The sequence below is a fragment of the Homo sapiens genome, chromosome 3 (genome assembly GCF_000001405.40).
Source record: "Homo sapiens chromosome 3, GRCh38.p14 Primary Assembly".
In the NCBI taxonomy this organism is placed as follows: Eukaryota; Metazoa; Chordata; class Mammalia; order Primates; family Hominidae; genus Homo; species Homo sapiens.
The window spans coordinates 113,455,402-113,476,648 of NC_000003.12; the positions used below are offsets into that span (position 1 = coordinate 113,455,402).

Below are 21,247 nucleotides of genomic sequence, written 5' to 3' on the forward strand. Positions count from 1 at the left end.
CTCTAGCTATATGTGGCTATTCAAATTTAAGTTAATTAAAATTAAATAAAATTTAAAATTCAGTTTCTCAGTCACATAAGCCACATATCAGGTGCTCACTAGCCCCATGCAGCCAGTGGCCACCATTCTGGATGGAGCAGACACAGAACATTTTCATCAACCCAGAAAATTCTATTAGACAAAGCTATCCTAAAAGAGAACTGAATGCTGATGAAGGGCCCTATGTATCACCCATTTTCATCTGCATATTCTGTTTAACTGAATAATTCTTTATATGTGAGTATTCCAAACAATGCTTGAAAAATATAATAAAACATCACCAATTCAAATACATATTCACAAGCAGCTGTCTGCACATTATAAAATAAATGGGCAGTTATTTTAAATACAAACTTGCTGAAGATATTAACAAAATGTTGTCTATAGCAATCCCTGACAAATTTGCTTTAACAAGCATTTAGTACGGTTGTGATCAGAGTAAACATATTTATTGTAACTGAAGCCCTCTGAAGAGGAAATACTGAATCATACAATGATAGAGCTGGAGGGAACATTAAAGATAAAGAAATATCTTCTCATTTCATAGATGGAAAAACTTAGGTCTAGAAAAGGTAAACTATCTGAGCCTCATGCCTCACAGCTAGTCAACAATAAACGGGCCAAGATACCAGCACGTCTGACTCTCAGCCTGGCACTGTCACCATTGCACCATACTGATCTGACAAATGCTACATCTGCATTATAAATACCAAAACAGAATTTTTAATAGCAAGGATTTGCCATTTTCTTTAACCCCTGGGCTTCTTCGTGTCCTTTATTGGAAACATACATCAAAGTGCAGAAAATTGCACAAAATTTGTATGTCCCAATAATAATAAACAGTTATTTTTCTGTTCCCCTGTGTAAAAATAAAAAAAAAAAACTTGTCAAAGAAATAAAAATTCAGGCTAATCAGACCTGAATAATATTTTTCAAAAAACTTTGGAAGAGAGTTTAAGATGGTGGTTCTTTTTTTGACTAAAGACCTCTTTAAAAATGAAATAAAAACAATAGCTCCAGAAAAAATGTACATGGGGACAAATAAATTTAATCTTCCCAACAATGAGGTAGTCCATGGAACTTCTGAAGACCATTCATGAACCCTAAGTTAAGAATCTTTGAGCTAAGAATAATATATTCTTAACATGTTTATTCAAAACTCTACCTGTGAGCTGCAAGAGTAACTCTAAAGCTATTTTTAATTGTCCATTAACTTTTATTATAAAATTGCCTCAACTAACTGAGCTGAAAACTTTTGATGAGAAAGAGGTGAATATAATGACCAGATGTCACTTACAAGACCCTTAAAGTCACAGTTTTCACCTTTCCTTAGTCTAACTTTCATTACTCTTTGGAGTATAATCTCCTGCTTCTAACTCTTTGAAATGCTCCTGGACCATAGGGACAAAAGGGATTCCCCTTACTCTGCATCTTAATGCTAAGGACTCTGATCTTTTGATCTGAGTTTAATACTTACAATGTTTAATAAAATAGATATACAATAAAATTAATTAAATGTCACACATGACCACAGGTATGATACACATAGCATGAAAATTCTTCCTTCAGCTTAAAGGCTATGTGTGGTAATCAGTGTCTTTTTCAATTCTGTTTTTCATGTAATGGTGAAAGTAATACATTGCACAAATGAAACATTAAAAAACAACTTTCATGTAACTTTAGAAGAAGACTTACCGTCCTGAAGAGGAGAGAATTTTAAGTTGCTCTTCTGCCTGGGTGGTGTTAACAACACAGCTGGCTCAAAAATATGTGCTGGAAAATTCTTGGCCAGATTCATGTTATCTGGAGGGTCTGGCACCTGAGACAGTTTAACGGGCAACTCTTCCTGTGGGAATTCAGCCACTTCCTCTCTGAACATCAATGGCACTGAGACATTGGCATTTACAACTGGACGCTCTGAAGAAGATGAGAGGATATTAGTACAATAGGAACAAAAAGAAACTATGAGCACATTTCAGGTATTTATTCTTAAATGCATCTCAGTAGAGTGCAAAATCCACATGAATCAACATAGCTCCTGGAGCCTTCACTTTCTAGGCTGTATCCTCCTCTGCCAATCATTCATGGGCAGGCTCCTGGGGGGCTAGTACTGAGAAGTTACTATTTTTGAGAAAATCACTAAGGCCTCAAAGCCATGAAAAGCGAGCCAGTTAGGGACTCCTAAAAAATCCTATGTGGCATTCCAGAGTTTGTCTTTTCCATTTTTCCTTTTTTTCACACAGAGTCTCACTCTGTCACCCAGGCTGAAGTGCAGTGGAGCGATCTTGGCTCACTGAAGCCTCGACCTCCCAGGCTCCAGTGATCTTCCCACCTCAGCCTCCCGAGTAGCTGGGACTATAGGCATGCACCATCACACCCAGCTAATTTTTTGTATTCGTTGTAAAGACGGGGTTCACCATGCTGCCTAGGCTGGTAGAATTTTTCATTATTTGTTATGGATAGCTTTTTAATGGTCATCACAAGTAACAAAATGGCTAAAATGGGTCATATTAATGCACTGACCTCCATATATAAGGCTCATTACAAAACAAGGAACTTCACAGGTCATGCATTATCACAACATAGTCACATTCCATAGTATTTTAAAAGAGTTACAAGAGCTGAGACTCAGGAAGATATTACATAAATCTTTGGTCTCACCAACATAAATCTTTCTGACTTTTTCCACAGGCAATAACAAGAATTAACAATAATTCTGGCTCCCTCTCCCGTCTCCCTCTCCCGTCTCCCTCTCCCGTCTCCCTCTCCCGTCTCCCTCTCCCGTCTCCCTCTCCTCTTTGCACGTCTCCCTCTGATGCCCAGCCGAGGCTGGACTGTACTGCCGCCATCTCGACTCACTGCAACCTCCCTGCCTGATTCTCCTGCCTCAGCCTGCCAAGTGCCTGGGATTGCAGGCACGCGCCACCACACCTGACTGGTTTTCGTATTTTTTGGTGGAGACGGGGTTTCGCCGTGTTGGCCGGGCTGGTCTCCAGCTCCTGACCGCGAGTGATCTGCCAGCCTTGGCCTCCCGAGGTGCCGGGATTGCAGACGGAGTCTCGCTCACTCAGTGCTCAATGTTGCCCAGGCTGGAGTGCAGTGGCGTGATTTCGGCTCGCTACAACCTCCACCTCCCAGCCACCTGCCTTGGCCTCCCAAAGTGCCGAGATTGCAGCCTCTGCCCGGCCGCCACCCCGTCTAGGAAGTGAGGAGCGTCTCTGCCTGGCCGCCCGTCGTCTGGGATGTAAGGAGCCCCTCTGCCCGGCCGCCCAGTCTGGGAAGTGAGGAGCACCTCTTCCCGGCCATCATCCCGTCTAGGAAGTGAGGAGCATCTCTGCCTGGCCGCCCATCGTCTGGGATGTGGGGAGCGTCTCTGCCCCGCTGCCCCGTCTGAGAGGTGAAGAGCGCCTCTGCCCGGCCGCCCCGTCTGGGAAGTGAGGAGCCCCTCTGCCCGGCCGCCACCCCGTCTGGGAGGTGTACCCAACAGCTCATTGAGAACGGGCCATGATGACGATGGCGGTTTTGTCGAATAGAAAAGGGGGAAATGTGGGGAAAAGAAAGAGAGATCAGATTGTTACTGTGTCTGTGTAGAAAGAAGTAGACATAGGAGACTCCATTTTGTTCTGTACTAAGAAAAATTCTTCTGCCTTGGGATGCTGTTAATCTATAACCTTACCCCCAACCCCCTGCTCTCTGAAATACGTGCTGTGTCCACTAAGGGTTAAACGGATTAAGGGCAGTGCAAGATGTGCTTTGTTAAACAGATGCTTGAAAGCAGCATACTCGTTAAGAGTCATCACCACTCCCTAATCTCAAGTACCCAGGGACACAAACACTGCGGAAGGAGGCAAGGCCCTCTGCCTAGGAAAACCAGAGACCTTTGTTCACATGTTTATCTGCTGACCTTCCCTCCACTATTGTCCTACGACCCTGCCAAATCCCCCTCTCCGAGAAACACCCAAGAATGATCAATAAATACTAAAAAAAATTAAAAACAAAACAAAACAAAACAAAACAAAAAAAAACAATAATTCTACAATATATTTACTCCCAGCCCTTCTTACCTATAGGATAATTAAAAGCTTTCTCAGTAGTGAAGCTTAATTCAGATAATAGTAAAACACTAACATATTCCTTGACTGAGATATTAATAGCAAGACTTGCCAGGTGCGGTGGCTCACGCCTGTAATCCCAACACTTTGGGAGGCCAAGGCAGGCGGATCATGAAGTCAGGAGTTCGAGACCAGGCTGGCCAACATGGTGAAACCCCGTCTCTACTAAAAACACAAAAATCAGCCAGGTGTGGTGGCAGGCGCCTATAATCCCAGCTACTCAGTAGGCTGAGGCAGGAGAATCGCTTGAAACTGGAAGGCGGAGGTTGCAGTAAGCCGAGAGGGCGCCACTACACTCCAGCCTGGGTGACAGAGCGAAACTCCATCTCAAAAAGAAAAAAAAAAAAAAAATAGCAAGACTCCACCAGAAGACAGAGATGTGCCCTAGCCAATGAGTTTACCTCATGCAAGTTAAATTTTGGTCAGCCACTTCTTAGAATCCATCCTAAGAAAACGGTTTTAAATACATAAAACACTTTTCTTACAGATACTCATCAAAGTCTTACTTAAAAGTAAAACACATGAAAAAACCAAAATGTCCAATTCAGCCTATAGCATATGATGGCACATGAGATGAAGGAAGAATTTCAAAATAACAACACTATCACACATGAACAAAAGTTATGAATTTCTAAAACTCAGTATTTTTCTCTTTCCAAAACCATCTCTTCTAAATCTAGAGCACTGGGATTAAAAGTGCTAGCACTCTCTTTGGTCTAGGTGTCCAGTTCTGCTACTTTCTACCTGTATGACTTTGCTAAGTTACCAACCCTCTCTCAGCCTGTTTCCTCTAAGGATAACACCAATGGGGATAACAATAACACCTACCTCATCAGACTATTATGACACGAATTGAAATTATGCATGTAAGACTTAACAAGTATCTGGCATAGAGCATGCATCCAATATTAGCTGGAAAAGTAGTGGCAACTGTAGTAGTGACAATACTGTACATGCATAAACAGTCAATAAGTCTATATAAGTTTAGAGATTTAAGGTTTGGTTTGTTATCTAAGGCCATTAAGTAGTCTAATGACAGTCTGAGAGAGTAAGACCACACTCACCTGGACTGTCCATAACTCTTCTACCTGTGGCTCCGCTTTCTGATGCCTGAATTTCTTGTCTGTTATTTATCACAGGACAGTTCTTAATAGCATGTGTGAGTGATATCAGTTGCTCATCTGTTGTGACCATGTACTGCTGAAGTCTTGCCTGGGGAGGAAAACATATGAAATAATATTATTAGCATATCAAACATCAAACCACCACCTAGAAAGCAAACCACACAAAGGATACGTGTGTTTAATATCATATCAATACATATCAAAGGATATGTATGTATAATATCATCATTTTAAATACTTCAGGAATTTGAGACTTCAAATTAAAGCAATGCTATTTATAATTATAAATATTCTAATAGTTCCATGATAGGGAAATGGTTAAGTAAATCATGAAACAGTAATTAATAAATACCCTGCTATAACAATAAGAATTAACCTTTCTACAGGGCTTTCCATTTACAAAACCTCTTCATATAGATGTTTCAACTAACTCTTAAACTACCCCCAAGAGACACAGATACATGAGGTGGAGGAAACAATGAATATTACCCAGGCATTTAAACTGGTAAACATGAACAGCACAAAATTCTGTATGTAATTAATATAAATATTAATTACAACTTGATTTTTACATACGTGCATGAGAGAGATAACACTATATTTTATATATGTATATAGATATTCTCATCTTTGTCTATATGTGTGTGTGTATATATATATATTTTTAATATTACATAAGGTTTTTTTTTTTCTATATTTAAAAGATCACCCACAAAATACCATACCCATAGATTTACTTTCTGGCACAGAGCTGAATGTGTTCAGTGTTTAGAATTCCATTCTTACATGTAAAAGTCAAACAGATTGCCCAGAAGGTTAGATGAATTTGTTTTGTTCTTAATCTTCTCTACAAGGATGATACAAGTATGTCATCTAAAAACATCAGGTTTGATCACTACCACATAATGCTCATCTAAGTTATGTATTGGTGTTACACAAATGTTCCTAGAAGTAGAGAAGATTGCAGGTAGAAGGAACAAAAGGAGAGTTCTGTAAATTGCTGACACTCTGTAATAATAACAAAGTAAGAAAACCCAAAGATGGCAGCTAGTAACAAACTTCTATCTAAGCATATATATATCTCTCATGTATGCTTAGAGAGATACAGACATTTGATAAAAGTCAGGTGCAGCCAGACTCAGAAATATTATTAACAGTACTGCTGAATGAAGTATAGTAAACATTTTTATACCACCAGCCCAAATTTTTTCCCAAATTTCACACTCATATATCCAGTGGCCTACTCAACACCTCCATCTAGAACTGAAATAGACTTCTCAAACTTAAGATACATAAAGCCAAATTCCTCCTCAAGCCTTGTTTACCTCATAAATGGCAACTTCATCATTTTAATTATTCAGTCCAAAACTTTGGAATTACCCTTGACTCTTTTCCAATATCCTCTACTTCACTCCACATCCAATAAATTAGCAGACTGCATTGGTCAGCCTTCAAAATATATTCATAACTTGATCACTTTTCACACCCTCTCCCACTTCCACCCTAGACCAAGCTGCCATGTCTCACCTGAACTATTCCAATAACTCCTCATGTAATATTCTGCTTTTTGGCCACCTACTCTAGTCCCATACTGTTCCCAAACTGTTTGCTGAGGCACCTCAGGGCACTAAAGTGAACTTACAGGGGCACCGGGGAAAATTTAAATCTTCAAGGGAAATAGTGATGCCTGCCATCTATCAGACACTGGTGAACTATTAGCTCAGGACAGTTCACAATTTCAATGTCAGATTCCATTACATTCCTTTTGAGGATGTCAAATCTTCTCATGGCTGGGTTTTCAGCAGTTGCTAGGTTAAAAAAACAAGTTCTGGAGGAAAATCAGTGTGGAACAGGAAATAAGAATGATTGTGTCCCACATGATTCCAAGCTTTGAGAAGTGGTACAGTGCTCAAAAGGTACATATAACCCATTAGTAAATAATTGTAGTTATTTAAGAGAAAGTATTACTTTTTCTCAAACAGCCCCTCAGTTGTTAGGACATAGTTGTTTGGACTCAACAACTTAGTAAGTAGAACTGTTTTTGGCCTAGTAGAACTGTTTTGTTATAAGACACTAAGGGCACGCGACCCAAGAAAGGGCACCAATCTCTGATCTAGTTTCAACACAGCCCAGAGTGATCCTCTTAAACCCAAGACAAATCACGTCTCTTCTCTTTAGTGGTTTCCCATCTCACTCAGCATAAAAGCCCATATCTTTAACCATCATGCAAGGCGCTATGTAATTGGGCTTACCTGATCTTGTCTCCTGCCTCTCTCTCTTCCTCTTCCTCATACTCTACTCTTGCCACACTGATCTCCTTGATGACTCTAAGCTCACCAGTCACACTCCCACCGCAAGACCTTCGCACTTGCTTTTCCTCTGCCCAGACTGCTCTTCTCTCAGCTACCCACATGCTCACTCCTCGCCTCTTCCAGGTCTTGGCTCAAATGTCACTTCCTCAGACAGGCATGGCCCATCTCATTTGTAACTGCATCCTACCCCATCCTATGCATTTCCTGTGCCTTTATGTGCTTTATTTTTCTTCAAAGTACATATCACCATCTAACTTACTATACTTCAACTTTTTGTTTTTAGGATTTATTTAGAATGTAAGCTCCATGAGGGCAAAGTTTTCTATATTTTGTTCACTATTCTATTTCCTGTACCTAGAACAGTACCAGGCCCACAGCAGGTGTTCAACAAAGATTTGTTAAGTAAATTAGTACATTTTAAAACTGCACATCTTCCCAGGAGAATTAAACATATGTTCTGCAAAAATATGTATATGAATGTTCATAGCAGCATTATTCATAACAGACAAAATGTAAAAATAACCCAAATGTTCATTAACTAATGAAAGGATAAATAAAATATGGTATATCCATACAATGGAATATTATTGGGCAATACAAAGGAATGAAGTACTGATACATGCTAAACATAAATTAACCTTAAACATTATACTAAGTGAAAGAAAAGCACATATTACATTATTCCATTTCTATGTAATATCTATATTAGGCAAATACACAAACACAAAAAGTAGATTAGTGACTGCCAGGAGCTGGCAAGAAGAGAGAATGAAGAGTGACTTCTAAAGGGTACAGGATGGCCTGGCGCGGTGGCTCATGCCTGTAATCCCAACACTTTGGGAGGCCAAGTCAGGCAGATCACGAGGTCAGGAGATCGAGACCATCCTGGCTAACACGGTGAAACCTCATCTCTGCTAAAAATACAAACAATTAGCCAGGCGTAGTGGCAGGCGCCTGTAGTCCCAGCTACTCAGGAGGCTAGGACAGGAGAATGGCGTGAACACGAGAGGCAGAGCTTGCAGTGAGCTGAGATCATGCCACTGCACTCCAGCCTGGGGGACAGAGTGGGACTCCGTCTCAAAAAAAAAAAGAAAAAGGGTACAGGATTTCTCTCTGGAGTGAGGAAAATGTTCTGGATTTAGATAACAGTGCTGGCATACAACTTCAAACATACTAAAAACACTGATTTGTACATTTTAAAAGGGTGGAGGACTTAATGGTATGTGAACTATATTATCAAATTTGTGTGTGGTTTCAGTTTTTTGTTGTTTTTTTTTTTTTTTTTAGAGACAGGGTCTCACTCTGTCACCTAGGGTGGAGTGTAATGGCAAAATCATAGCTCACTGCAGCCTCAAACTCCTAGGCTCAAGTGATCCTCCTGCCTCAGCCTCCCAAGCAGCTAGGACTACAGGCATATGCTACCATGCCCAGCTAATATTTTTATTTTTTGTAGAGACAGGTCTCACTCTGTTACCCAGGCTGATCTCAAACTCCTGGCCTCAAGTGATCTTCCCACCTTGGCACCCAAAATGTGGGGATTAAAGGTGTGAGCCACTGCGCCTCGCCCTATATTATCAATTTTAAAAAATTATACATCTACATCTAATGTCCATTAACACAAACATAATTTATCTTCTAACTATTACTTGTCTAGTCTCTTCTGGCTGATAAATAAAAGTAATAATAACCATCATATGAGAACAAAAAAGATGAATAAAATAGACTGTGTACACTCAAGAAGCATACAGTCTCAGTAACAAGTACACATATAAGTATAAAACAATTTGATAAATGCAATAATACCAATATCCAGACAGTATCAGAAGTGCACAAAGAAGCAAGGTGCAGTGGCTCATGCCTGTAATCCCAGCACTTTCGAGGGCCAAGGCGGGCGAATAGCTTGAGCCCTGGAGTTCGAGACCAGCCTGGGCAACATGGTGAAACCCCATCTCTACAAAACATAAAAAGTTAGCTGGGTATGGTGGTGTGCACCTGTAGTCCCAGCGACTTGGGAGGCTAAGGTGGGAGGATCACTTGAGCCCAGGAGGTCCAGGCTGCAATGAACTCATGCCACTGCACTCCATCCTGGGTGACAGAGTGAGACACCATCTCAAAAAAAAAAAAAAAAGTTCACAAAGGAAGAATGCTCAATGCAGCATGGAAGCAATAGGTTTTCCAGAAGAGAATGGTGTAAGTCTTTTAAAAAAGAAAAGGAGCAATTAGTCAAGCAGCAAAGAGGACTTTATGTAACAAATATGAAGATACTGTGAACAACTGTAAATGGCTCTGATATAATTGCAAAAGGACTCCTCAAAGGCTACCTTCTGCTGTTTTGAAATTAAAAGTGGCTGTCATAACACTCATTTCACATTTTGGATTAACTACTGTAACACTTGTAGTTATAATTTAAATGTAGACTCTGTCTTCCCACTAAATAGTAAGTCTCTTGAAGACAGGAAGACAGTCCATATACTACTTCCAAGCTTCTACTATAGTACTTCCATGTAATAAATGTTCAATAATACCTGCCACTGATGATAAAAATGACTGATAAGTAATCACATCGATACAGTTAAACCAAAAGCAACTCTAAGAGAATCCAGTACATGTTTAAAGATGTTTTATACCACTGAACACATAAAAATTGGGATCTCATCTGAGTACCTGTGTAGCAGCGTTTTCTTCTCTAAGACGAAGAATTTCAGCTGTCAGAGCATCAATGAGCTCTCGATGATCACCTAATACTTGTTCCAGTTGTTGCCTTGTCTCTACTTCTTTACGTAGCTGGATCTCACTCTACAAAAAAATATCAAATAAACTTCCACCAATAGCATCACATGTTGAAAACTAAAAGTTTGCACTCAAAGCTGGCAAAGAAGATATTTACAAAGAAGCATATATTATGTGACAGTAATGATGAAGAGTTTTATTAAAAGGTTTATTATATTTAATTAAAGAAAATGTGCTTCTTTATCCTCTTCCCTTCTTTAAATAGAATAAAATGAACTAAATGCTATATAAAATTAAGTAACTACATTTTTTGTAAAAAGAAAGTAGAGGGATATACATATACATATTATTTGAATATACACTGACCATCTCTAGAAAGATACACTGGTATCTGGAATGATAGTTGGCTATAAATAAGCAAACAGGCTAGCTGGAAGTTAGTCATGAGAGTTAGTACAATCTGCTGTTATCTTTGAATTTCATAATATGTGACTATATTGCCAATTCAAAAATTAAGCTTGTTAAAATATAATTTAAAGTAAATGACTACAACTTTAAATGGTTTAACTTTGTAAAACAAGTGATTAGCTTAAAAGTACACGCTTCTGGTCGGGCGTGGTGGCTCACACCTGTAATCCCAGCACATTGGGAGGCCAAGGCAGGCAGATTACAAGGTCAAGAGATCGAGACCATCCTGGCCAACATGGTGAATGAAACCCCGTCTCTACTAAAAATACGAAAATTAACTGGGCGTGGTGGTGCACGCCTGTAGTCCCAGATACTCAAGAGGCTGAGGCAGAAGAATCTCTTGAACCCAGGAGGCAGAGGTTGCAGTGAGCCAAGATCATGCCACTGCACTCCAGCCTAGCAACAGAGCGAGACTCTGTCTCAAAAAAAAAAAAAAAAGTACATGCTTCTAAGCCTGCAATACTCTCCAAGAGCCAAAAGTATACTCCTGAAGATTCCTGAGTTAAGGGTGAAAGAATGTTAAGGTTTTAATAGGTCTGACAATACAATGAATCTGTCATTAAAAAGTTAATTTTAGGGTCAGGTGCAGAGGCTCACGCCTATAATACCAACACCTTGGGAAGCCAAGGTGGGCAGATCGCTTTGAACTCAGGATTTCGAGACCAGCCTGGGCAACATAGTGAGACTCTGTCTCTACAAAAAAAATACAAAAATTAGCTGGGTGTGGTGGCATGCACCTGTGGTCCCAGCTACTTGGGAGGCTGAGGCTGGAAAACCACTTAAACCCGGGAGGTGGAGGTTGCAGTGAGCCGAGATCATGCCACTACTGCACCCTAGCCTGGGCAACAGAATGAGACCCTGTCTCAAAAAAAAAGCAATTCAATTTTAGGAAGACGGCTCTAGAGAAACTAAAACATCTGTATTAAGGTGGTAAATCTATCTTATTAAATAATAAAGTTTCCTTAAACATTTTTGTCATATTTGTATAACAGGCTTAAGTACATAACAGTTTAAATAGATTTTCAAAGATGAAACACATAGCTAACTCTAATTCTGTGGCATTCTGTGGATGATTATTTGAAATCAAATTAAACAAACAATTCTTTTTTTATTTTTATTTTTTGAGACAGTGTCTTGCTCTGCCGCCCAGGCTGGAGTGCAGTGGCGCGATCTCGGCTCACTGCAACCTCCAACTCCCTGGTGAAAGTAATTCTCCTGCCTCAGCCTCCCCAGAAGCTGGGATTACAGGCGCCCGCCACCATGCCCGACTAATTTTTGTATTTTTAGTAGAGACAAGGTTTTACCACGTTGAGGCCAGGCTGGTCTTAAACTCCTGACCTCAGGCAATCTGCCCGCCTCGGCCTTCCAAAGGGCTGGGATTATAGGTTATAGGCGTGAGCCACCACACCCAGCCAAACAAAGAATTCTTGCTTATTTTATAAATTATTTTTACAACAATAAAACATCTCCCACTTAGACATTGAAGCCATATGTGAGTTACCAGACATACAGGGAACATGAAGAATTCTCCCACATATCAAGTCTACCGATTATAGGCAATGCCACTCTCCAAACTGAATGTGGGAGTAGGAAGCAGAGAATAGCAATAGAATGCAGACACAGTTAACAGTTCTATTTAATCTACAACTGTCAAACAGTAATATTTAATATTAGCACAAGATATAATTATATTAATGGCAGATTTACCCTACTAATTATAATTTGCTAAAGCTCTTATTAAAATTAAAATCACTTATCTGAGCATGTATCAACTAACGGCAGAAAAGACTTAAAGGATAAGCCTTTACTGCAGATAATCTAAAACTGAGGTATTTTAAACGAAGCTATTCAAATTTGACTGTACTTTATTTGGAGGTTGCAATAAATGGAAAGGAAAAAAAACTCATGCATTTCTGCCTGAAAAGAAGACTCTACTAACCTAATGTCCTTACCTCTTTAAGGTACCGAACCAGGCGACAGAGGGAGCTCACCAGCGACAAAGTGAAGCCTGTAAGACCCTGACTGCTCTGCAGACCCTTGACCTCGCGACCTGTCCACCGCTCATATTCTTCCATTTCATGTTCCACTTCATGTATCATGTGTTTGAGGACATCCAGGTTGGAATTAGTCCTATTTGGTAAGTCTGCAGAGGTTGTGCTACCTGATGATATGTTTTTCTTCGGCTTGGAAAGAGCATGCAAATTCGGTTTCCTTTTCACTGATAATGAGAGAAGTCATTCTATTTTAAGACCAGGAAAAATTATGACTAGAAAACTACTAGAAAAATCTTTTGACTATTGTTCACAATTTATAAAAGGCTTGTATAGACGATATCACCATTTCTCTCATAAAAATTAAACAGTTTAAACCAGATTTACACTAGCTATAATGAATGCACTAGAACCACTGTTCCAGAGTTACATGTGGTAGGAGACATTTCTTAGCTACCATTCAATAAACTTTCAGTTGGAACCATGTGGATGAGATTAAGGGAGAAAAACATTGACTAAGAGATTAAGACAGCTGTATCAAGTTACATGTTTAATATTCATCTTTGTAAATTAAGGGACTGAACCTTTATTTAACAGCTGTTTTTGCTTCCTTGAGTTCAGCACGTGTCCCACAACGTAGCTTGAGTCTAGAGTCTCAGTAGATTCTTCAGGCTGAAGCCTGGTTTGGAGTCTCTTGACAGCATTGGTAGCATTCAGAGCAGCTAAAAGGAAGAACATTTCCAAAAGTATCTCAAGTGAACAAACTTCTTAAGAAAGTATTTCAATTGACAGATCCATCAGTATTTTAGTCAATTAGGCAAAGGCAGTCAAAACTCAAATAACATTCCTTCAAAAATTACTGCATTCAAGAATGAACCTAATAAAGCAGGCACCTAGAAATAATGCAAAAGGGAAACAAACCTCTTTGCTCCCCTGATGAAAGAGCAGATGATGGCGTTCCTGGAGGAGTTATTTGTGACTGGGTTGCTATTTTCTGCTGAATGTCAGTCCACAACTTACTAATTAACTCAAAATTCTCTTCTGTTAGTTGTTGGAGAAACCTATAAATTACAGGACAATAAGCTACATGAGAATTATAATATAAATTAATATAATATAAATATAAATTAAATGATAGCAGGCATTTAATTTATATTTACATTATCTATATTATTATAATTTATATTTATATAATTATAAATTTAATTTTATATATAAATATGCATATAAATTTAATTATAATTTATAATTAAATTATATAATTAATTATATATAATTATATAATAATTACACATAATTATAAAATATATTCTATATTACATGTAATTTAATTTATAATTTAATTATATAAATTAAATTATATTTATATCTAATTTATATGTATATTATATTAATTTATATAAAAAATAGGTGCTATCATTTAAACTGTTCAAATAGTTACATGTTTGATTTGAAGGAGCTTTTAGTAATTCATAGTCAAAGAAAAAACACTATTCACTATAACTGATAAGACAGGTAGATAGCAAAAATGCCTATCACCTTAGTGTTAGAAAGAATCATTCCATCTGCCTCCCAGTTTCCTACCTACCTTGGTCCCTAACATAGGTATGTTTGCCCTTTCTGCAGTTTTGTGGTATGGCTCCATCCTCCTCTCTCTTTCTCTAGAGTAAAGTAATTAAGCATATATGGCTCAGCCCCTTTTGGTTTCTCTGTCCTACAAAGGAGCCTGTCCACAGAGCAGCCAGTCTCTGCTCATCAATGAAGTAAATTGACCACAGCATACTCTGTCCCTGTGTGTCAGGGAGGGGCTAGATAGAGTGAGAAGAGATGCTGCAGTTTAGGGGTTAGTAATTACAAGCACATTGGTTACAGAGCTAAGCGTTATGCTATAAACACTTTTATCACTGATAAGGTTGATATTTTAATTTTCAACTGTCTCATTTGTCTATTTCTCAAAGTGCTAAAGTTACAGCCTACCTTCTTCTGGAGGCTTAGTATAAAAGCAAGAACAAAGAGATAAATGGTGGGAAAAACTTTAAGCAAAAGGAACCAGGACTTGATGTTTTGAGAAGTTTTCAGCCTGTCCAAATTGCAAAAGATTAGTAAAGTCGCTGTTAGGAAAGCATATTCTGGAGAGAAGGGCAAGAGTGTGGCTGAATAACCTTTTGCTAGTTCTGAAGAGATAAAGCATGTGATTCATGGATCCTCCAAATGATGTCAGAAGAAGCTAACAATAAAGATGGGATTTTCCAGGAAAGACCTGTCTATGGAGTAGATGACCATGACATATGCAAGACACAAGATCTTTTGAGAATGTTATACCAACAGAAATACTGCTAGCTTAAATTGAAAGACACAAAGACAGGATGAAATGAAGGAAGGGTGCTAGACTCAAAAAATTCTACAGACTACCTTTCTCAGCCTCTGGTAACCATCATTCTACTCTCTATCTTCCTAAGTTCAACTGTTTTAATTTTTAGCTCCCAGAAGTAAGTGAGAACATGTGGCCAGAGCTGCAGATCCATAGGCACAGAGGCCAAAGCCAGAGCCACAGGCACAGAGGGAAGAGCCATGGATCCAGAAGGGTAAAGACTCAAGTCACAGAGCATTAAGTCCTAATAGTATTTGCTCTAATGAATTTCAAAGTTGCTTGGAACTGCTGATCCCTTTCTTCTTTGATTTTCCCTCGTAAAATGGAAATGTCTATAACTTTCATCCTATGTCTGTCCCATCATGGTATTTTGAAAGCAGACAACTTGTCTTCTAGTTTCATAGGACCACAAATGGAGAATTTTGCACCAGGATGGATTCTATCCAGTCCTCCCATAACTGATTTAGATGATGAGATTTGGGACTTTTGAGCTAATGAGATTTAGATGAGATTTTGAACTTGAAATGAAGCTGAAAATTGAAGGATATTGGGATGGATCTTTGGGGCCCACTGGAAGGACCATGGTAGGCTAAATAATAATGCCTGAAGATATTCCATGTCCTAAACCCTGGAGCCTGTCACTATTACCTTATATGGCAAAAAAGGGGTAGGGGAAGCCTCTTCAGATACAATTTAGAATCTTGAGATGGGGAGATTATCTTGGGTAGGCCCTAAATGCAATCACATATTTTTTAAAAAAAATTTTTCATATTTCATGTACATTCTTATAAGAAACAGACAGAGGAAGATCTTTGACACCCACACAGAGGAGATGATGTGAAGACAAGAGGCAGAGATTGGTGTGCTGCAGCCACAATTTCAGAAGCTAGAAGAAGCAAGGAGCAAATTCTCTTCCAGAGCAGCTTCTCCTCTGGAGGGAGTGTGGCCCTACTGATACCTTGACGTTGGCCTAGTGAAACTGATTTTGGATTTCTGGACCCCAGAACTGGGAAGAAATCAAGTTCTGTTGTTTTAAGCCACCAAACTTGTGGGATATTTAATATACTTAATTGTAGCTATAAGACAAAAACAAAAACGGGATACGCATGGAAGCATAGTATGTAAATACTTCATGTTCTGTCAAAGCAAAATATATAACTAAAAATGGGAAGGATGGAGAGAAAATAATGGAAAGAATAGGAACATAGAAAAGCTCACTTATTAAAACAAAAAAAAAATTTTGTTTTTTCGGGAAGGGCAGCCAAGGTGGCCGAATAGGAACAGCTCCGGTCTACAGCTCCCAGCGTGAGTGACACAGAAGATGGGTGATTTCTGCATTTCCATCTGAGGTACTGGGTTCATCTCACTAGGGAGTGCCAGACGGTGAGCGCAGGACAGTGGGTGCAGTGCACCGTGCGCGAGCCGAAGCAGGGCAAGGCATTGCCTCACTTGGGAAGCGCGAGGGGTCAGGGAGTTCCCTTTCCTAGTCAAAGAAAGGGGTGACAGACGGCACCTGGAAAATTGGGTCATGCCCACCCTAATACTGCACTTTTCCGACGGGCTTAAAAAACCAGGAGATTATATCCGGCACCTGGCTCGGAGGGTCTTACGCCCACAGAGTCTCACTGATTGCTAGCACAGCAGTCTGAGATCAAACTGCAAGGCGGCAGTGAGGCTGGGGGAGGGGCACCCGCCATTGCCCAGGCTTGCTTAGGTAAACAAAGCAGCCGGGAAGTTCCAACTGGGTGGAGCCCACCACAGCTCAAGGAGGCCTGCCTGCCTCTGTAGGCTCCACCTCTGGGGGCAGGGCACAGACAAACAAAAAGACAGCAGTAACCTCTACAGACTTAAATGTCCCTGTCTGACAGCTTTGAAGAGAGCAGTGGTTCTCCCAGCACGCAGCTGGAGATCTGAGAACGGGCAGATTGCCTCCTCAAGTGGGTCCCTGACCCCTGACCCCCGAGCAGCCTAACTAGGAGGCAACCCCCAGTAGGGGCAGACTGACACCTCACACGGCCGGGTATTCCTCTGAGACAAAAATTCCAGAGGAACGATCAGACAGCAGCATTCGCGGTTCACGAAAATCCACTGTTCTGCAGCCACCGCTGCTGATACCCAGGCAAACAGGGTCTGGAGTGGACCTCTAGCAAACTCCAACAGACCTACAGCTGAGGGTCCTGTCTGTTAGAAGGAAAACTAGCAAACAGAAAGGACATCCACATCAAAAACCCATCTCTACATCACCAAAAGCAAAGACCAAAAGTAGCTAAAACCACAAAGATGGGGAAGAAACAGAGCAGAAAAACTGGAAACTCTAAAAAGCAGAGCACCTCTCCTCCTCCAAAGGAACGCAGTTCCTCACTACCAACGGAACAAAGCTGGAAAGAAAATGACTTTGACGAGTTGAGAGAAGAAGGCTTCAGACGATCAAACTACTCCGAGCTACAGGAGGAAATTCAAACCAAAGGCAAAGAAGTTAAAAACTTTGAAAAAAATTTAGATGAATGTATAACTAGGATAACCAATACAGAGAAGTGCTTAAAGGAGCTGATGGAGCTGAAAACCAAGGCTCGAGAACTACATGAAGAACGCAGAAGCCTCAGGAGCTAATGCGATCAACTGGAAGAAAGGGTATCAGCGATGGAAGATGAAATGAATGAAATGAAGCGAGAAGGGAAGTTTACAGAAAAAAGAATAAAAAGAAACGAACAAAGCCTCCAAGAAATATGGGACTATGTGAAAAGACCAAATCTACGTCTGATTGGTGTACCTGAAAGTGACAGGGAGAATGGAACCAAGTTGGAAAACACTCTGCAGGATATTATCCAGGAGAACTTCCCCAATCTAGCAAGGCAGGCCAACATTCAGATTCAGGAAATACAGAGAACACCACAAAGATACTCCTCGAGAAGAGCAACACCAAGACGCATAATTGTCAGATTCACCAAAGTGGAAATGAAAGAAAAAATGTTAAGGGCAGCCAGAGAGAAAGGTCGGGTTACTGACAAAGGGAAGACCATCAGACTAACAGCGGATCTCTCGGCAGAAACTCTACAAGCCAGAAGAGAGTGGGGGCCAATATTCAACATTCTTAAAGAAAAGAATTTTCAACCCAGAATTTCATATCCAGCCAAACTAAGCTTCATAAGTGAAGGAGAAATAAAATACTTTACAGACAAGCAAATGCTGAGAGATTTTGTCACCACCAGGCCTGCCCTAAAAGAGCTCCTGAAGGAAGCACTAAACATGGAAAGGAACAACCGGTACCAGCCGCTGCAAAATCATGCCAAATTGTAAAGACCATCGAGACTAGGAAGAAACTGCATCAACTAACGAGCAAAATAATCAGCTAACATCATAATGACAGGATCAAATTCACACTTAACAATATTAACTTTAAATGTAAACGGACTAAATGCTCCAATTAAAAGGCACAGACTGGAAAATTGGATAAAGAGTCAAGACCCATCAGTGTGCTGTAATCAGGAAACCCATCTCACGTGCAGAGACACACATAGGCTCAAAATAAAAGGATGGAGGAAGATCTACCAAGCAAATGGAAAACAAAAAAAGGCAGGGGTTGCAATCCTAGTCTCTGATAAAACAGACTTTAAACCAACAAAGATCAAAAGAGACAAAGAAGGCCATTACATAATGGTAAAGGGATCAATTCAACAAGAAGAGCTAACTATCCTAAATATATATGCACCCAATACAGGAGCACCCAGATTCATAAAGCAAGTTCTGAGTGACCTACAAAGAGACTTAGACTCCCACACCTTAATAATGGGAGACTTTAACAACCCCACTGTCAACATTAGACAGATCAATGAGATAGAAAGTCAACAAGGATACCCAGGAATTGAACTCAGCTCTGCACCAAGCAGACTTAATAGACATCTACAGAACTCTCCACCCCAAATCAACAGAATATACATTTTTTTCAGCACCACATGACACCTATTCCAAAATTGACCACAAACTTGGAAGTAAAGCTCTTCTCAGCAAATGTAAAAGAACAGAAATTATAACAAACTGTCTCTCAGACCACAGTGCAATCAAACTAGAACTCAGGATTAAGAAACTCACTCAAAACCGCTCAACTACGTGGAAACTGAACAACCTGCTCCTGAATGACTACTGGGTACATAAATAAATGAAGGCAGAAATAAAGATGTTCTTTGAAACCAACGAGAACAAAGACACAACATACCAGAATCTCTGGGACACACTCAAAGCAGTGTGTAGAGGGAAATTTATAGCACTAAATGCCCACAAGAGAAAGCAGGAAAGATCCAAAATTGACACCCTAACATCACAATTAAAAGAACTAGAAAAGCAAACACATTCAAAAGCTAGCAGAAGGCAAGAAATAACTAAAATCAGAGCAGAACCGAAGGAAACAGAGACACAAAAAAACCCTTCAAAAAAGTAATGAATCCAGGAGCTGGCTTTTTGAAAGGATCAACAAAATTGATAGACTGCTAGCAAGATTAATAAAAAAGAAAAGAAAGAAGAATCAAATAGATGCAATAAAAAATGATAAAGGGGATATCACCACTGATCCCACAGAAATACAAACTACCCTCAGAGAATACTACAAACACCTCTACGCAAATAAACTAGAAAATCTAGAAGAAATGGATAAATTCCTCGACACATACATCCTCCCAAGACTAAACCAGGAAGAAGTTGAATCTCTGAATAGACCAATAACAGGCTCTGAAATAGTGGCAATAATCAATAGCTTACCAATCAAAAAGAGTCAAGGACCAGATGGATTCACAGCCAAATTCTACCAGAGGTACAAGGAGGAACTGGTACCATTCCTTCTGAAACTATTCCAATCAATAGAAAAAGAGGGAATCCTCCCTAACTCATTTTATGAGGCCAGCATCATCCTGATACCAAAGCCGGGCAGAGACACAACCAAAAAAGAGAATTTTAGACCAATATCCTTGATGAACATTGATGCAAAAATCCTCAATAAAATACTGGCAAACCGAATCCAGCAGCACATCAAAAAGTTTATCCACCATGATCAAGTGGGCTTCATCCCTGGGATGCAAGGCTGGTTCAATATACGCAAATCAATAAATGTAATCCAGCATATAAACAGAACCAAAGACAAAAACCACATAATTATCTCAATAGATGCAGAAAAGGCCTTTGACAAAATTCAACAATGCTTCATGCTAAAAACTCTCGATAAATTAGGTATCGATGGGATGTATCTCAAAATAATAAGAGCTGTCTATGACAAACCCACAGCCAATATCATATTGAATGGGCAAAAACTGGAAGCATTCCCTTTGAAAACTGGCACAAGACAGGGATGCCCTCTCTCACTACTCCTATTCAACATAGTGTTGGAAGTTCTGGCCAGGGCAATTAGGCAGGAGAAGGAAATAAAGGGTATTCAATTAGGAAAAGAGGAAGTCAAATTGTCCCTGTTTGCAGATGACATGATTGTACATCTAGAAAACCCCGTTGTCTCAGCTCAAAATCTCCTTAAGCTGATAAGCAACTTCAGCAAAGTCTCAGGATACAAAATCAATGTACAAAAATCACAAGCATTCTTATACACCAATAACAGACAAAAGAGAGCCAAATCATGAGTGAACTCCCATTCACAATTGCTTCAAAGAGAATAAAATACCTAGGAATCCAACTTACAAGGGATGTGAAGGACCTCTTCAAGGAGAACTACAAACCACTGCTGAATGAAATAAAAGAGGATACAAACAAATGGAAGAACATTCCATGCTCATGGGTAGGAAGAATCACTATCGTGAAAATGGCCATACTGCCCAAGGTAATTTAGAGATTCAATGCCATCCCCATCAAGCTACCAATGACTTTCTTCACAGAATTGGAAAAAACTACTTTAAAGTTCATATGGAACCGAAAAAGAGCCTGCATCACCAAGTCAATCCTAAGCCAAAAGAACAAAGCTGGAGGCATCATGCTACCTGACTTCAAACTATACTACAAGGCTACAGTAACCAAAACAGCATGTTACTGGTACCAAAACAGAGATATAGATCAATGGAACAGAACAGAGCCCTCAGAAATAACGCCGCATATCTACAACTATCTG

The 21,247-nt window shown here is 39.8% G+C and overlaps 1 protein-coding gene and 1 long non-coding RNA gene across 17 annotated transcripts in view, besides 2 other annotated features; both read right to left on the reverse strand.

Annotated features, from left to right (window-relative positions):
• The window catches only part of SPICE1-CFAP44 (SPICE1-CFAP44 readthrough (NMD candidate)), a 228,227-nt gene that overhangs the window by 168,472 nt on the left and 38,508 nt on the right, over positions 1-21,247 (reverse strand). For all 12 annotated transcript variants that reach the window (NR_183046.1, NR_183045.1, NR_183050.1 and 9 more), the window contains 6 exons: positions 13,698-13,837; positions 13,361-13,498; positions 12,738-13,003; positions 10,252-10,383; positions 5,216-5,363; positions 1,735-1,956 (listed from right to left, as the gene is read on the reverse strand). This is a non-coding gene — a long non-coding RNA (SPICE1-CFAP44 readthrough (NMD candidate)). The remainder of the gene's footprint in view (positions 1-1,734; positions 1,957-5,215; positions 5,364-10,251; positions 10,384-12,737; positions 13,004-13,360; positions 13,499-13,697; positions 13,838-21,247) is intronic.
• Positions 1-21,247, reverse strand: part of SPICE1 (spindle and centriole associated protein 1) — a 72,439-nt gene that overhangs the window by 12,684 nt on the left and 38,508 nt on the right. For 4 of the 5 annotated variants that reach the window (NM_001331078.2, NM_144718.4, NM_001331079.2 and 1 more), the window contains exons 8-13: positions 13,698-13,837; positions 13,361-13,498; positions 12,738-13,003; positions 10,252-10,383; positions 5,216-5,363; positions 1,735-1,956 (exon numbers count right to left, since the gene is read on the reverse strand). In NM_001331078.2, the coding sequence (NP_001318007.1) occupies positions 1,735-1,956; positions 5,216-5,363; positions 10,252-10,383; positions 12,738-13,003; positions 13,361-13,498; positions 13,698-13,837 (1,046 nt within the window). The remainder of the gene's footprint in view (positions 1-1,734; positions 1,957-5,215; positions 5,364-10,251; positions 10,384-12,737; positions 13,004-13,360; positions 13,499-13,697; positions 13,838-21,247) is intronic. The other variant, NR_170870.1, reaches the window with a different exon arrangement.
• Positions 2,689-3,398: an enhancer, noted in NCBI's record as "H3K27ac-H3K4me1 hESC enhancer chr3:113176937-113177646 (GRCh37/hg19 assembly coordinates)". NCBI's record gives its function as "activates a minimal SCP1, AML or CMV promoter by ChIP-STARR-seq in naive H9 embryonic stem cells {active_cell/tissue: H9 hESC(naive)}" and the evidence as "EXISTENCE:reporter gene assay evidence [ECO:0000049][PMID:30033119]".
• Positions 3,399-4,108: an enhancer, noted in NCBI's record as "NANOG-H3K27ac-H3K4me1 hESC enhancer chr3:113177647-113178356 (GRCh37/hg19 assembly coordinates)". NCBI's record gives its function as "activates a minimal SCP1, AML or CMV promoter by ChIP-STARR-seq in primed H9 embryonic stem cells {active_cell/tissue: H9 hESC(primed)}" and the evidence as "EXISTENCE:reporter gene assay evidence [ECO:0000049][PMID:30033119]".